General features: G+C 37.8%; 1 protein-coding gene, 1 non-coding gene and 1 pseudogene across 10 annotated transcripts in view; 1 reads left to right on the top strand and 2 right to left on the bottom strand.

The window, feature by feature from the left end:
- The window catches only part of TNPO1 (transportin 1), a 97728-nt gene that overhangs the window by 20792 nt on the left and 60763 nt on the right, over positions 1-16173 (bottom strand). For all 9 annotated transcript variants that reach the window (NM_001364292.3, NM_002270.4, XM_005248501.3 and 6 more), the window contains 8 exons: positions 11070-11130; positions 10365-10533; positions 6375-6527; positions 5294-5519; positions 3640-3811; positions 1701-1787; positions 351-458; positions 62-220 (listed from right to left, as the gene is read on the bottom strand). In NM_001364292.3, the coding sequence (NP_001351221.1) occupies positions 62-220; positions 351-458; positions 1701-1787; positions 3640-3811; positions 5294-5519; positions 6375-6527; positions 10365-10533; positions 11070-11130 (1135 nt within the window). The remainder of the gene's footprint in view (positions 1-61; positions 221-350; positions 459-1700; positions 1788-3639; positions 3812-5293; positions 5520-6374; positions 6528-10364; positions 10534-11069; positions 11131-16173) is intronic.
- RPL35AP13 (ribosomal protein L35a pseudogene 13) lies at positions 14337-14773 on the top strand (annotated as a pseudogene).
- Positions 14934-15006, bottom strand: MIR4804 (microRNA 4804). The gene has a single exon (NR_039968.1). It is a non-coding gene; the product is annotated as a microRNA 4804 (primary transcript).

Raw genomic sequence — 16173 nt, 5'->3', positions numbered from 1 at the left:
ATTAACCCCAATGTGACACAGAGAAACAGGCTTCAATTCATTTTCACCTTTCAAGTCTCACCTGCATGCACTGATACATTAGTGTCAGGATGTTACTTCGGGCTACCAGCTGTTCAATGTTGCCTCCAAGTCCTTCAGCCAGGCCACTCAGTAAATCAAGAGCCACTATCATAAAATCTTTATCTGGAGCTTCATATTGATCTGGTTGAGCATTGTTTAGCTGAAATTAGACACAATGTTTTTTGTAAGTTTGGTTTTAATTAACTACTTAAAAAGTCTGTATACATTATACCTATCTTTAGAAAAATGTCCACCATGTCAAGAAGAGGAAGACATTTTAAAAAAATTACCATGGCTTGTGCAAGAGTCTTCTGTACTAGGTTTACACAACGCTGATACACAGGTTCACAGTACGGAAGGAATCCAGACTGCAGTGCTGTGGCAACTGAAGATAGGCACTAGGAAGAATAAAGTACACATGCTAAACTTTCTGGGTATACTGAAGATTATGATGAATGCTTGAAACTGCGCTCAACAGGATCCTGATCATTTATGAGCTTGCTCTACTAGTTTCTACAGTAGCAGGTTCCCCTCCCCCCACCCCAACCCTCTCTTTTGGAAGCCATTCATTGTTGTTAGTTTGCCAGCCAATCAGGTCAGGTTTACTCAGAGGAAGCGTTTCTACAAGAAACATTATCTTTAAAGGACAGATTGAGTATTATGTGTTCATATTTTTCCCTCAAATTGAAGAGATTCATTTCATGCTCCCATCCTGGTCAATGTTGTGAATGGACTTTACTGGGCACATTCTGAGATCCTGCCGGAAAGTAATATATATACAGTTGGCCCTCTGTATCTATGGATTCAACCAATCTTGAATCAAAAGTATTTAGAAAAACAATTAAAATGATTTAAAGTATATTGGGAGGAGGTGCATAGGCCATATGCAAATACCACATCATTTTATATAAGGGACTTGAGCATCGCTGGATTTCTGTATCCAAGGGGAGTCCTGGAAACAATCCCCTGCAGATACTGAGGGACGACTGCATACAAAAAATGAACCATAATGATTCTTCTTGTTTTGCTGGGCCCAGAATTGCTCTTGGTCATAGAAAATTTAACTTCTTTGGCTAAGAACAATCCACGGTAGAAGATGGTGAACCTTGAAATAACAGGGAGCAAGAATGAAAAGGCCTGAACTGGTTCTATCAATGTCAATTCAACTAAGTTTAAGTGACTACATTTCACAGTGTGTTCAGTTACGAGAACATCATATAAAAGTTTGCAATGAAAGGGGTGTTAAAAAAAAAAGTAGTTAAGTACACATGGAAACATTTTCAAATTTGAAAATAAGTACCTCCTTACTGGCACCAAATCCCACTACTCAACATATATGTATGAGTGAAAAGATATATATATATATCCCGGTATATATATCCTCCCAGTATGTTATCTACTCTATACTATATAGAGTAGTATGCTATCTACTCTATATAGAGAGTAGATAACATAAGAGAACTTAAAACTCTAATTTATTATCAATTAAGTAAAGCAGGTTAGAGAACAGTATGTATCATATAATTTCCTCCGTCTACTTCAGAATATAAATTTATTAACACTTTTCTTATCATATATACCCATTTTGGATTTGAACATGTGTTCTTGGCAACAGATTAAATATTACTAGCCCTGCATACCTCAAGTAAAGGGAAGAGATCTTTATCTTCATCCTTTAACATGTTCCATTTCTGGATCAGTGGAGGCATTAGCATCTGAATATATTCCTATTTACAATGATGAAAAACATATAAAATTCCACTATCACATGTCAACAAGACCATTTTGAGTCTTTGAAAATTAAAATCCATTTTGAGCAATTGTGTAAAATCATTACAAAAGGCATTTTAAGAGTCATTCTTCACTCTGCACAGTCCCTTTTAAAGTTTTCCTTTCTGTTGCCTACCTTTATACTTACATGACCGTGTTCTAGTTTTAGATCTAGAACTAGTGATCTACTGATCTTTTATCCTTGTTGAAAAAAAGAGTCTATCAATAAACACACAGCTAATCAAAATCTATTACTTAAAAAAGTCACAATCAAGGAAGATCTAAGTTTTTCTCTTTTTTTTGAGACGGAGTCTTGCTCTGTCGTCCAGGCTAGAGTGCAGCGGCGTGATCTCAGCTCACTGCAAGCTCCGCCTCCCAGGTCCACGCCATTCTCCTGCCTCAGCCTCCCGAGTAGCTGGGACTACAGGCACCCCCCACCACACCCGGCTAATTTTTTGTAGTTTTAAAGAGACAGGGTTTCACCGTGTTAGCCAGGATGGTGTCGATCTCCTGACCTTTTGATCTGCCCACCTCAGCCTCCCAAAGTGCTGGGATTACAGGTGTGAGCCACTGTGCCCAGACCTAAGTTTTTCTCTTTAAGTTACAGAATATTTTTAGTTCTGGGGCTGGGCATGGTGGCTCACACCTGTAATTCCAGCACTTTGAGAGGCTGAGGCAGGCAGATCACTTGAACCCAGGAGTTTGGGCCAGCCTGGGCAACATGGCAAAACTATCTCTACAAAAAGTTGGCCAGGAATGGTGGTACACGCCTGTGGTCTCAGCTACAGGGGAGGCTGAAATGGGAGGATCGCTTGAGCCCGGGAGGTGGAGGTTGCAATGAGCTGTGATCACACCACTGCACTCTAGCCTAGGTGACAGAGTGAGACCTTGTCACACACAAAAAAATTCCTTTTAGTCATGGAACTGTAACGTGTAATATGGCTGTTACTATATAGTACATTTTTAAATCAACAGGTAAACTTACACAGATGCTTTTGTAGAAAAACAAACTTAAAATCATTTAAGTGTCAAACTAAAGAATGATCCATAAAACGACTAAACATAGTGATCATGTAAACAGGGGCACAGACTCTAAAGACATTCAGAAAACAAACCCCCACAAAAGCCAAACCAAACAACCAACAGCAAAGCAAACCTATAAACTGCCCTGTACCAAATCTTAAGTGTAACTTAAAAATAAAACAATTTCTTAAGACTTTGGATATAGCAATCATATAGAAGTCTATTCAGCAGGGTATGTGGAGCTATATTAAAATTCTACTATCACTTAAATCCTCATTAGACAAATCCATCCTCCTCTTCTACTAACACTACTGGAAACAAGGCACTTTTGCATTACTATTTAGCATTTTTAAACCTACTACCCCAATTTCTATTTGTTTTATACAGTATACTCCCCGTACCTGCTGAAAAAACAAAGATGTCTAGATATGGTACTCTAAAGCTACAGTGTTTATGAAGTGGTAGATTCAAAAACATTAGGAATTAAGTAAAAGCAGATATCCAGATTATAAAAACTTTTTTATCCCTTTGCTTTAGTCATTCTAAAAAGTATCAGAGCATTCATGTGAAATGCTGCTGTAGTTTCCACACCAAGTATGTATTTACTTTAAGAATACCACATGAAAGGGGATATACTTGCTGCCTTTGTAAGATCTATACTCTTAAAGTAGCTAACGCTAACTATTCACATCTCCCAAAACATCTTAATTTCCAAATATATGCTAATCTATTAATTGTAACTATGCTACACATTATTTTCCCTAATAGTTCTTAACAGATACTTACTGGTTTGTTTAAATGATGTCCTACTGAATCTGCTAATGTTCCTATGGCATCGTAAAGAATGAGCAGGTTCTTATGCTGGTATTTACTAAATGCAAAGACCAGGGTATCAAGTATATAAGCAAGGTAAGGAACAAGTTCTGTACAAGCCTCCTCTTCTAGGGTAGCAAAGGCACTGTTTAAAAAAAAAAAAAAAGAATACTTATTGACTGTAAGATATATCTAACTCTTAATTGCTAAAATGTTTATGTTCTGTTTTACCCAATCAGGAATTTCCTAAAATGGTCTAAGCCATCTGTTAATGAAAGCCCTGGTCATCAGCACTGTGAATTATTTACCGATTTCTTCCATAGCACTTGCCATAAATGATAATTATGTTGCTGCTTTGTATTTCCTACTAACCTGTAAGTCTCAAGATGGCAGGGACTTTATGTAAACTCAGCATTTAGTATATGCTTAACAATTAATAGCTAAAAAAAAAAACCGAGGTACTGAATGAATAAATTATAGGATCTCAAACATAATCTATATCCTCCCTCCCTTAATATCTTCCAGATATGACTGCTTCAGATGGATTAAGGTCAAACTCAAATTTACTATCCCTGCCAGGCGCGGTGGCTCACGCCTGCAATCCCAGCACTTTGGGAGGCCAAGATGGGTGGATCACTTGAGGTCAGGAGTTCAAGACCAGCCTGGCCAACATGACAAAACCCCATCTCTACTAAAAATACAAAAATTAGCTGGGCATGGTGTCGCACACCTGTAGTCCCAGCTACTCAGGAGGCAGAGGCAGGAGAATTGCTTGAACCCGAGAGGCGGAGGTTACAGTAAGCCAAGATCACACCACTGCACTCCAGCCTGGGCGACAGAGCAAGACTCCATCTAAAAAAAATAAAATAAAATTTTCCTTTTTTTTGTTCAACAGTTATTTTTTCCTACTATCAAGGTCAATGGTAAAAGCAAACCTACTCGAAAAATTAAGAACTATAAACATAAGCAGAAGGCCCTTTTAAAATATAAAGGTATATTGCAGGAAACTGGAATATTTGTAGTAATAAAAGCAACTGCTGGCTTGATATAAAGAGACAGCCACCAAACCAACCAATAGAATGGCTACTAGAGCAGAACTACTAAGCACTCAAAGACCTTTAACTGGTAAGTGACAGACCACAGGTCCCTGTGGGACTTTCTGAGTTATGGTGGTTGACCTGTAGTCTAAGGATGTCAATCTGCTCAAACGTTGTTATTCCTTCAAGAGTAGGAGTCCTGCCATCACTAGTTCAGATGTCTGAGGGAATTAGGGTGTAAGATAGTTCTGTTATAATAACCACTGAGTGGGAAAAATGAGCCAAAGAAGAAACAGCTAAGATCGATGTTGTCACATTTAGATCTACAAAATCATCAGGTAAAACCCACATGACAAAATTCTCCTGGCCAAACAAAATGTATAAAATACGCTAATATGCAAACCCAAAAGCTACAGATCCTGCAAAACACTTCACCAAGAAGAAAAAAGAAAACTAAGCTTTCTGATATAACTGGAAAATTTTCAATTACGAAACACTTCATTATAGGTTTAACACCAACACTCCATCAGAAGGTTGAAAATTAAGTTTTTCACTGCCACAAAGAACACTGTGTTATGAATCTGTCCCACCTGCAGGCAGCTTCTTGTACTCTCTTGTTGCTGTCCAGGATGCGCTTTAGCAATTCTGTCATTAATGGCTTCAGGTACGTGTCTGGCGGCTGGCTGACCACCCAGTGTGCATAGCGGCTAAGAGTCCAGCATGTTATGGAACGCACAAGAGCCTTTTTATCAGAGAGGCACTGAATAAGGTGAGGAATAAGCTCAGGCAAGTATGGAATCATGCCCTGCATGCAACCTAGAAAAAAAATAAATCTTTCAAAATGCTAAAATTTAGTTAACATTATTTTGGTTGATTATGAAAATAAAACACGTATCTATGAAAAAATTCAGAATATTTCTACTGCTATACACATACTACAATAACCTATACCAAAATTATTTTTAAAACCCTGAAGTTAGAGCTACCTGCTCCCAAGCATCTTACAGTGTTTCAATTTCTTCTAATAGATGTTTACTGCCAGGACAAAATCAATAATAACCCTTCATAGAGAATGAAGAGAGTCTTGCCTTATTGTGTTTCCTATACTTACCTAAAGAATCAAGGATTTTTTTTTAAAGCAATGGGGATGCTTCAGACATCAGAGCCTTTCATTCTGTTCCCTTAATTTTTTTGTTTTTATTTTTTATTGAGATGGAGTCTTGCTCTGTCACCCAGGCTGGAGTGCAATCGCACGAATTCAGCTCACTGCAACTACCACTTCCCAGGTCCAAGCAATTCTCCTGCCTCAGCCTTCCAAGTAGCTGGGACTACAGGCACATGCCACCACGCCCAGCTAATTTTTGTATTTTTAGCAGACGTGGTTTCGCCATGTTAACCAGGCTGGTCTTGAAACCATCTCAGGTAATCCACCCGCCTAAGCCTCCCAAAGTGCTGAGATTATAGGCGTGAGCCACCATGCCTGGCCTCTGTTACCTTTATTATAACAAAAACATTTTGCAAAATATCTAGCTGGGGTTAGAAGACGGCCTATGGCTGTTTAATACTAGTTATCTGGTTCAAAATAGAAATTCCTTAAAGTAGCCTAGCCTTATTAGTACCTAATAGTAGTAAGAAGCCAACTTACATAATTCAAACTGGACTTAGGCTTACCTTCAGCAATTGCTCCTAAAACCAAAATGCCTGATTCTTTAACAACCCATTCATGATGAAAAAGTAATTCTTTCAAAAGGGGCAAAATATGTGGCAGCAGTTCATCACGATACACATTTGCAAGAACATCCAGGGCAGCAGCAGAACATTTTCCTAAGGAAATATTTAATTCAAAAATATTACATTAACCTCTTATTACTTATATATTATTTATTGTATATGTAACATTTTATTCGTATCTCTAATACGGAGTTTTAAAATAAGAATTCAATTGAATAGGAGGTAGTTTGTCACGTGAAAACATTTTGTGGTTTTTTTTTTTTTTTTTTTTTTTGAGATGGAGTCTTGTTCTGTCGCTCAGGCTGGAGTGCAGTGGTGCGATCTTGGCTCACTGCAACCTCTGCCTCCCAGGTTCAAGTGATTCTCCCGCTTTAGCCCCCTGAGTAGCTGGGATTACAGGTGTGTGCCAGTACGCACAGCTGATTTTTAGGAGAGACGGGGTTTCACCATGTTGGCCAGGATGGTCTCAAACTCCTGACCTCGTGATCCACCCTCCTCAGCCTCCCAAAGTGCTGGGATTACAGGTGTGAGCCACCATGCCCAGCCAAAAACATTTTCTATTAAGATGAATATTTTTTATGACAAGAACTTACTTGGCAAATTAATTGTGAACACATTGTATTCTGTACATAACTGTCATACTAGAATTCTGTCTATACAGTAAAACAAATACTGTGCCACTCAATTCAGTGCTTCTAACATAACCATTCAATATGATACACTCATATTACAATCATGATTACAATCACTGTTACAATCACGCAAAAAACATACATTATTAACTCTACTTAACATTTCCAGCAGTATATCATCTAGAATTAAACAGACAATTACTTAGCTGGACTTTAGACACAAAAACTGGAAGAAAAGTCACTGGCACATGAAACATAACGCATGCTAGAAAATACTCTTTACAAAGAATTAACTATGGGACTATAAATCAACCCAGATTTTATTATAATAATAATTTAGACAAGAGCAACAAAATCAAAAAGAACAACAAAAATATCATTTAACTGTTATGGGTAGGAACGTGTTCCTGAAGTTCATGTATTAGAAACCTAATCCCTAAAGCAACGAAGATGGGAGGTGGGGCCTATCAAGAGATGATTAGGTCTTAAGGGTTCTGCCCTCATAAATGGGTTAATGTCGTTACTGTAGGAGTGGGTTAGTTATCAAGAGAGTTGGCTTATTATAAGCGTGAATTGAGCTCTTAAGTGTGTCCTTCTGTCATCAGATGATGTTGCAAGGAGGTTCTCACCAGATGCAGCCCCTCCATTCTGAACTTCAGGTATCCTGTTATAGTAGTACAAAATGGACTAAGAAAATATCAGAAATTTCCAACGTGAACTAGGCATAGTAAATGGCTAATCACAAACTACTAGACAATAATAAAATCCTCAAAAAAAAAAAAAAAAACCAAACCAAACCAAAACAAAACCATTACATTGGCCAGAAATTAACACCTTACCCATCAATAAGGATCTTAGTTATACCACATGGTAGAGCCATACAACTAAACAGTACACTGACATGCAACAAAAGGAAATCTAAATCTGTATGTACTGAGGAAGAATGAGGCATACGATACACAGAAAGAAAGCAGCAGAGTACATATAATCTGATTTCACTTTTAGAAAACTGGCTTCTCCTCTAAAAAAGATGCCTGTATGTTTTCCCAAGCACGCACAGAAAAGCTTTTGGAAGGATACAAAGAATGGGATGTGAAGAGGAAGTGTTCCCCCATCCATGTATGTATATTATTTTGTAGAGTTTTCTGTGTAATGATCTTGAGCCATCCTGCTCCCCTAATCTGAAAGTAGGGATACACTGGGAAGTAATTTGTAATAGTAGTAAACACCATGTGTTGTCTTAACAAGTGAGACTTGGGTCCCAGTACTAGATGTGCTATCAGTACTAGCTATGCTAACCTTGGGTATATCTCTCTTTCTGCAGTTTTCTTGCCTATTCAAGGTTGTTGGAAATGTTAAATATGACTTTATTCTTACTTATGATTAAACAGACTTTGATATGCATGCAAAGTCCTTGGCCTAGTGCCTGGCACATTAGGCACTCTAAATAGAATGTTAGTTACAGGAAACTGAAGAGGCAACAGAGAAATTAGCATTATCTAACCAAATGAAGAACACAGCCCAGACTGATAATGTCTGTTCTTAACTGCTTTAATCATAGTTATTAGAAATCCCAACACTTTGAACTAGAGTAGTGGCTCTAAACTGGGGTTGATTTTGTTCCCCCAGGAGATAACGGTTGTCACAACTGTGTTTGTGCTGCTGGCATCTTTGGGTAGAGGCCAGGGATGCTGCTTAACATCCCACAACGTGCAGGACAGCCTCCGCAACAAAGAATTACATGCATGATGTGGCATTCACATGTAGAAAAAAAAAAAGAATTATGTGGCCCAAAATGCCAATAGTGCCAAGGCTGAGAAACCCTGAACTAGAGCAGTAGAGGTTTAAAATCCAGCAAACAAGCAAGCAAAATCAGAACACAGGTGTTTAGGTTCATCCCCAATTAGGAAGCGTGGGCCAGAATGCTAGCTCCACAGGTGATATGATTTGCAGCTAAGGTTGGAAATTAACATATTTTAAGAAGCATATTTCATAAATTTTGACTATAACAAAGCAACTTATAATAAATTTGAATATAATAAAGCAACTTATATTATTTTAGAATTACCTATGATAGCCAATTTTCATGCAAATTACCAGACAGAAAACACTCATGTTAGAAAAACCAAAAAAGCTTGTGGCAATGTTCTTACAGTATTAAAACAAACAGCCTTTTGAGAAATGGTAGTTTAAGAATATAATAATGATAAAATAAGAGCAGGTCCACCAGGAAAATGCAAACCAAAACCACAAAATACCACTTCACGTCCACTAGAATGACTATAATAATAAAGAGATAATAAAGCAAGTGAGCATGTGAAGAAACTGGAACCCTCCAGACAATGCTGCTAGGAAAGCAGAATGGTGCAGTCACTTTGGAAAACATCCTGGTTATTTCTCAAAAGGTTAAACATACAGTTACCATATGACCCCAACAATCCTTCTCCTGAGTGTTTACCCAAGAGAACTGAATACACATTGGGCCAGACACAGTGGCTTACGCCTGTAATCCTAGCACTTTGGGAGGGCAAGGCGGGTGGATCGCTTGAGCCCAACAGTTCAAGACCAGCCTGGGCAACATGGCAAAACTGTCTCTACCAAAAAAAAAAAAACAAAAATTCATCCAGGTGTATTGGTGAGCACCTGTAGTCCCAGCTACTTGGGGAGCTGAGGTGGGAGGATCACCAGAGCCCAGGGAGGTCAAGGCTGCGGTGGGCCATGACTGCGCCACTGCATAATCATGCTAGCCTGGGTGACAGAGACCCTGCCTCAAAACAAAAAAACAAACAAACAAACAAAAAAAGTCTACACACAAAAATTATACATGAGTATTTATAGCATCACAACTCAACAGCTACAAAAAGAGAAACACAAATGTCCACCAACCAATGAATGGAGAATATGTGGCATATTACAATGAAATATTATTTCACAATACAAGTGAATGCTACAAAATGAACCGTGAAAACTTTATGCTAAGTTAAAGAAGATGGTCACAAAGGACAATGCATTGTATGACTCCATTTACATGAAATGTCTAGAATAGGCAAACCCAGAGACAGAATATTGACTAGTAGTTGCCCAGAGCCAGTGAACAATAGGGAGTTACTGCTAAAGGGTATGGGTGATGAAAACATAGTCTACAACTGATTGTGGTAATGGTTGAACAGCTCTCTGAATATACTAAAAACCAATGAAATGTATACTTTAATGGGTAGTAAACTGTACAGTAGATGAATTATACCCCAATAAAGTTATCATCAAAGTAGGCAACTGTGCTTTTCCCTTTCTGACTTACTTAGATTCCAGTCAGAAATTGTATCATCATCATCAATTTCATCATCATCATCATCTTCCTCTTCAATTCCATCTTCATCATGCTGCTGAGCCACCGTCCTCGATCGGTGAAAACGTGGCCGTATATCCTGTTCACTATCAGGAATCGTTTCGTCTTCTTCAACATCACCCTGTTGTTTTTTTAAGAGAAATTTTTGGTGGCATTCATTATAGGCTAATAGTATGTACATGAGTAAGAGAAACAGAATATCCAGAGATGGGGTCATGCACAGAATTCTGAAATATACTTCCAGAGTGATTAAGAACCACGCCCATGTACAGAACATATTCCTTATGGAGGGGCGAATAGACTGACCTAACACACCTGTTAGGTTATACGGCCCTTTCAGCCAACTACATGGCCTCCACTGGCTGGTATAATCTAAGTTACCTGAATCAAATTCAGAGCAGCATATATAAGAATGTTTTTAAAATAACTCCAAGTAATTAAGGGGAAATTAATAATAACCCTACCAATGTCACCATCTAGTACCAAATTAAGCAAGAATTTATCATTACTTAAACTTATGCTTCTATCCTATTATGGATAATAGGAAGTCTATTTACAGGAGATCTATTCTCAATGAATGTTTTATTGGCCAAATCCAAAGATGTACTAAGTCAATATAAAAATCTTGTTCCCTATTCATCAAAAAAGCTTCCTTACCTTAAGTAGGATAATATCTATGTCTGAGTACTTCATGCCATTCACTAACACAGGAATCAACCTATAAAGAAAGAAATTCATGAAACAAAGACCTTAAGATCTCAAGAGAATAATTAATAAGTCTTAACCTTACATGTACTAATAAAACCAATGAGATAATCAATGGTAATATTGTCTTTGAACTTATTCAGTGATATATGTCTGCTCTCATTAACTGAAGAAACGCTAATAGAGAAAAGGAAGCAGTCAAATATAAAATCCCCTGGATAGGTTTAAGAAATGTGGGCCAGCCAAACTTTCATGCTCAAAGTCCTTCTAAATTCTAAAATAGAAAGATTAGTAGTAATTAAACATTAGAGCTAGCATAATTTAACTAGGTAAGACTTACAATACATAGAGCTATATTTTGTAAGATACAGGTATTTTGCAGGAGAACCAGGTGTATCTGGATCACTAACAGTTAATCACTGATGATCTTTATCAACAATTTCAAGGAAATGGTGAGGACAGACATCAGAATGTTAAGATAATGAAGAGTTAACAAGATGTGGGTTAAAGAAGTGAAGACAGTAAGTCCCACTCAAAAAAAGTTTGAGTTTTTTTGTTTTTTGAAGACAAAAAACTGCAGCAAGTTATAAAGTTATGGAAAATGAGGCAACAAGGAGAAGCTAAGAGTGAATATTTATCTGGTACGGTGAGGGTCTCTGGGTATAAGAAAAATTTATACTATACAGACCTTAAGGAGAAAATTGGTTAGGAGAGAACAGCTCATATGAAATTACTATCTGTAAGTTTTGGGGCAAGATAAAGGGTCACCTGCTTTCTTTACGAGCCTAAGTGCTCAAAGTGAATTAAGAGAATATCAAAAGAGTAATAAAGGTTTCAAACAGTTGCTCTTGGTGAATAAAAGATAAAAGCTGATCTGGAACATGAATTAGCAGATTGTGAAGAGACCACTTGCGGTTGAAGACCACAGATTTCTATAGCCAACAATCCCCCTAGGGGAGTGTAAATTTCCCCAAAGGCATTCAACAACCTGGTTAAAGAAAAGACTTCAGAGTTCAATTAGTCTAGAGCAGGGTAGATAGAAGTTTTGGGTTAGTATGGTTTATTCGTGGCTCTGATGTTTGTCAGATAAACAGAGAATAAAAAGAATCAGATTAGGTCGAGGCGAGCGGATCACGAGGTCAGGAGTTCGAGACCAGCCCGGCCAACATAGTGAAATCCAGTCTCTACTAAAAATACAAAAATTAGCTGGACGTGGTGGCACACGCCTGTAGTCCCAGCTACTCAGGAGGCTGAGGCAGGAGAATCACTTGAACCCGGGTGGTGGAGCTTGTAGTGAGCTGAGATCGCGCCACTGCACTCCAGCCTGGGAAACAGAGTGCGACTCCATCTCAAAATAATAATAATAAAAAAAAGAATCAGATTAGAACACAAAGAGGTCAAGGGCCTTGGAATGGGGTGGCAGATGGGCCTAGTAAGGTTTGCAAGAAATAAAGGACTGGCTGGTAAAGCTGGGCAAATAAGAAAAAATGAGGTCAGAAAATAAGACATGGAAATTAACCGTGACCATGTGGCAATTTGGCATGTGCCTGCCCAAGTCTAATCATGCTAGGCAAACTCTTATTTTTGAGCAGGTCTAATTGTGAAGATTTCTCCTGAAGCCCCCATGTAGCCATTAAAAATGAGGTTTTTTTTTTTTTTTTTTGAGATGGAGTCTTGCTCTTGTCACCCAGGCTGGAGTGCAATGGCACGATCTTGGCTCACTGCAATCTCCACTTCCCGGGTTCAAGCTATTCTCCTGCCTCAGCCACCCAAGTAGCTGGGACTACAAGCATACGCCACCATGCCTGGCTAATTTTTTATATTTTTAGTAGAGATGGGGTTTCACCATGTTGGCCAAGCTGGTCTTGAACTCTAGACCTCAGGTGATACACCCGCCTTGGACTCCCAAAGTGCTGGGATTACAGGCATAAGCCACTGCACCCAGTCAAAAATGAGTTTTTTAATGCAACATCACATAAAGTAATAACATAGACAATAAACGTTTACTGAATACTTAAATATGGGCTGAGCATTGGGTTGTTTCACATGGAAAATCCACACAACAGCCCTATAAGACATTAATGTACAAGAATAAAGGTGGGAAAAAGCCAAAACAATTTTGTAAAAACGAGAGAAATCAAGAGCTGCTATACCAGATCACAAAATACATTAATGTTCAATAATAAAAATAGTACTAGTTAAAAAAATAAAAAAAGGGAGACTATATAGCCCAGAATGATAATAGAACTTAATATCCTCCTTGTTACACTGGTGCTTTTTTTTTCTGAGAAAGGGTCTCACTCTGTTGCCTAGGCTGGAGTGCAGTGGTGCCATTTCGGCTCATAGCTCACTGCAGTCTCTGCCTCCTGGGTTCAAGTGACTCTCCTGCCTCAGCCACACAAGTAGCTGGAATTACAGGCATGTGCTGCCACGCCCAGCTAATTTTTGTATTTTTGGTAGAGACGGGTTTCACCATGTTGTCCAGGCTGGTCTTGAACTCCTGAGCTCAAGCGATCTGCCTGCCTCAGGCTCCCAAAGTGCTGAGGTTACAGGCATGAGTCACTGTGCCCAGCCTACAATGGTGCTTTCTAAATGAGTTTATATTTATGAGTGATCTTGTAACACACACAATTTTAATTCCTATGCAAACACTTTTTGCTCGTATTATACTAGGCAAGTGTGGTTAATAAATAGGAAAAACAAGTTATTTCACTGTGCTTTTTAATCTCAGCATCAGATTGATGTTGATATTCTGCTATCCTGTCAATACATTATCTAAAACAATAAAAACAGCTGCGTTTTATATATAAAAGTGGCTCCCACTGGGTACCGTGGCCCATGGCTGTAATCCCAAAGTTTTGGGAGGCCAAGCAGTATGAATTGCTTGAGGCAAGAGGATCAAGACCAGCTTGGGCAATACAGTGAGACCGCCTCTCACAGTAGTAGGGAAGACATAAGTAAAACTCAGTCATGACTGGCTTGAGTTGTTTAATGTTGGCACTAATTAGCACAGCAAAATGGGTGGTGCTAATCTTTTAATTTCCTGCTTGGTTTACGAATATTTGGATTATATTAGTGCAGTAATAGAGTTAGAGTACCTAGTTATAATTCCATATTTTTAACATCATCTCTAATGTTATAGCCTAGGTTTTCATTAGCATAGGTTTGTTATAGCATAGGTTTATGTTATAGCCTAGGTTTTCATTAATAAAATCTCTGGAGTGAAGCAGCTGCTGCTGAAATTTGGGGGCAAATAACTGCAGCCTGCTGGGAATAGGACTTCTAAAAGGAAGTATGTCTGGAAGGCTGTGGCCCAAGGCCTTTTCTGCTGGCTAAAAGCAGGGTCTCCAGAACCAAAGGAAACACACAGCTCTTGTTAAAATTGAAGATGTTGACGCATGAGGTGAAACAGAATTCTCTTTGGGCAAGAGATGTGCTTATGTACATAAAACAAAGAACAACACAGAGACTCCTGGCGGCAAACTAAACAAAGCCAGAGTAATCTGGGCCCATGGAAACAGTGGCATGGTTCGTGCCAAATTTCAAAGCAATCTTCCTGCTGAGACCATTGGACACAAAATCTGAGTGATGCTGTACCCCTCAAGGATTTAAACTAACGAAAAGTCAATAAATAAAAGCGGATTTCTGCTCTTGAAGAAAAAAAGAAAATCTCTGCAGTTTTTATAAAAATTAGTATCTATGACATTTAAAATTATATGACCCCACAGAAACTCAAACGTATCATTAAAGTGGCATTACAAAGTAAAGAGAAAAGGAAGAACAATTAATAGATTTCCTAAAGAGAAAAAAATCCAGTCAGTGTATTTCGAGGGCAAGGTTAAGCAAGATACGACGCACCTTGCTTAACCTTACCGTCCAAATACACTGACTGGAATCGTTGCTTTCTTGATGGAAAGAAAAAACTCAGTTGACCATATGAAAATAGGAACATTCAAGTACCATAAACATCTGGGGAAAAAAAAAAACCCTTTACTATGAAGACATATTAAAAACTTTTTTTTTTTTTGCTTATCCAGATGGCTAAGATTTGAGAAATTAAAATTCATGGCTGGCAAAGTTGTGACAGAATAGACACACAGTGGGGTATACGGTTCTATAAATTTCCTAGAGAACTATTTGGAATATTGTGAAAAAACATTAAAATGCTCATATACTTTGAGGAAAAAAATCACTCCTAGTAATTATAACAAAAAGAAACAACCTTTTATTGACAAAGAAAGATATTCACTCCAGGATTATTTATGAGGGGAAAAAAAGCCAAAACAACCTAAATATTCAATGGCAGAGAACAGTCTCTCTCTCTCTCTCTATAGCGTACACATATATAATCGTCATTTATGTAAATATGGTTATGTATACCATGATGGAATAGCATACCTCCACTGAAGTTTTAAAGACTAATGACATGGAGGAAAGCACACAGCATACAATAACTGAAAAGAACAAACCATTAAATAGTATATTTAAAATTTTAAGCACTAACTATAGGCAAGATGTCATGTTAATGTATTATATATTATTAAATCAAATTCCTTCTCAAACCCCCTGAATACATGCTATTTAGTATACGGTACTTTCACAGAAAAGAACATTAAAAGATGACATAAAAAATACTACCAGTGATTACTCAGGGTGGTGAAAATGCGGAAAATATAAAATTTTCTGCAATTTAGTTTTTTCCCACGAGCTTATATTACTTTACTTTTAGAAAAATGGGCTTAACATTAAGTTAACTAAATTCTGTTGCATCACAACTAGTGGGAAATTATTTTTTGGAAAAAAAACAAAACTTCACAATAGAGTCTGTGGTTAAATAACAAGGATTGTTTTTTAAAAACAAAACAAAACAAAAAACAAAAAAACCCCACAAAAATACTGTGCTGTAAATTATCCGAAATCAATTATAATTTAGAACAAACCATACTCACATAATTTTTTTTAAAATAGGCAATTGCTTTTTGAAAAATCTCTTTACCAACAATAAAATTAAGTCTGGCTTCTTTAGAATCTCACTCCCTGATGGCAAAAGAATGAA

The sequence above is a fragment of the Homo sapiens genome, chromosome 5, assembly GCF_000001405.40.
Source record: "Homo sapiens chromosome 5, GRCh38.p14 Primary Assembly".
Lineage (NCBI taxonomy): Eukaryota > Metazoa > Chordata > Mammalia > Primates > Hominidae > Homo > Homo sapiens.
This window is presented reverse-complemented; position numbering and strand designations above follow the sequence as displayed.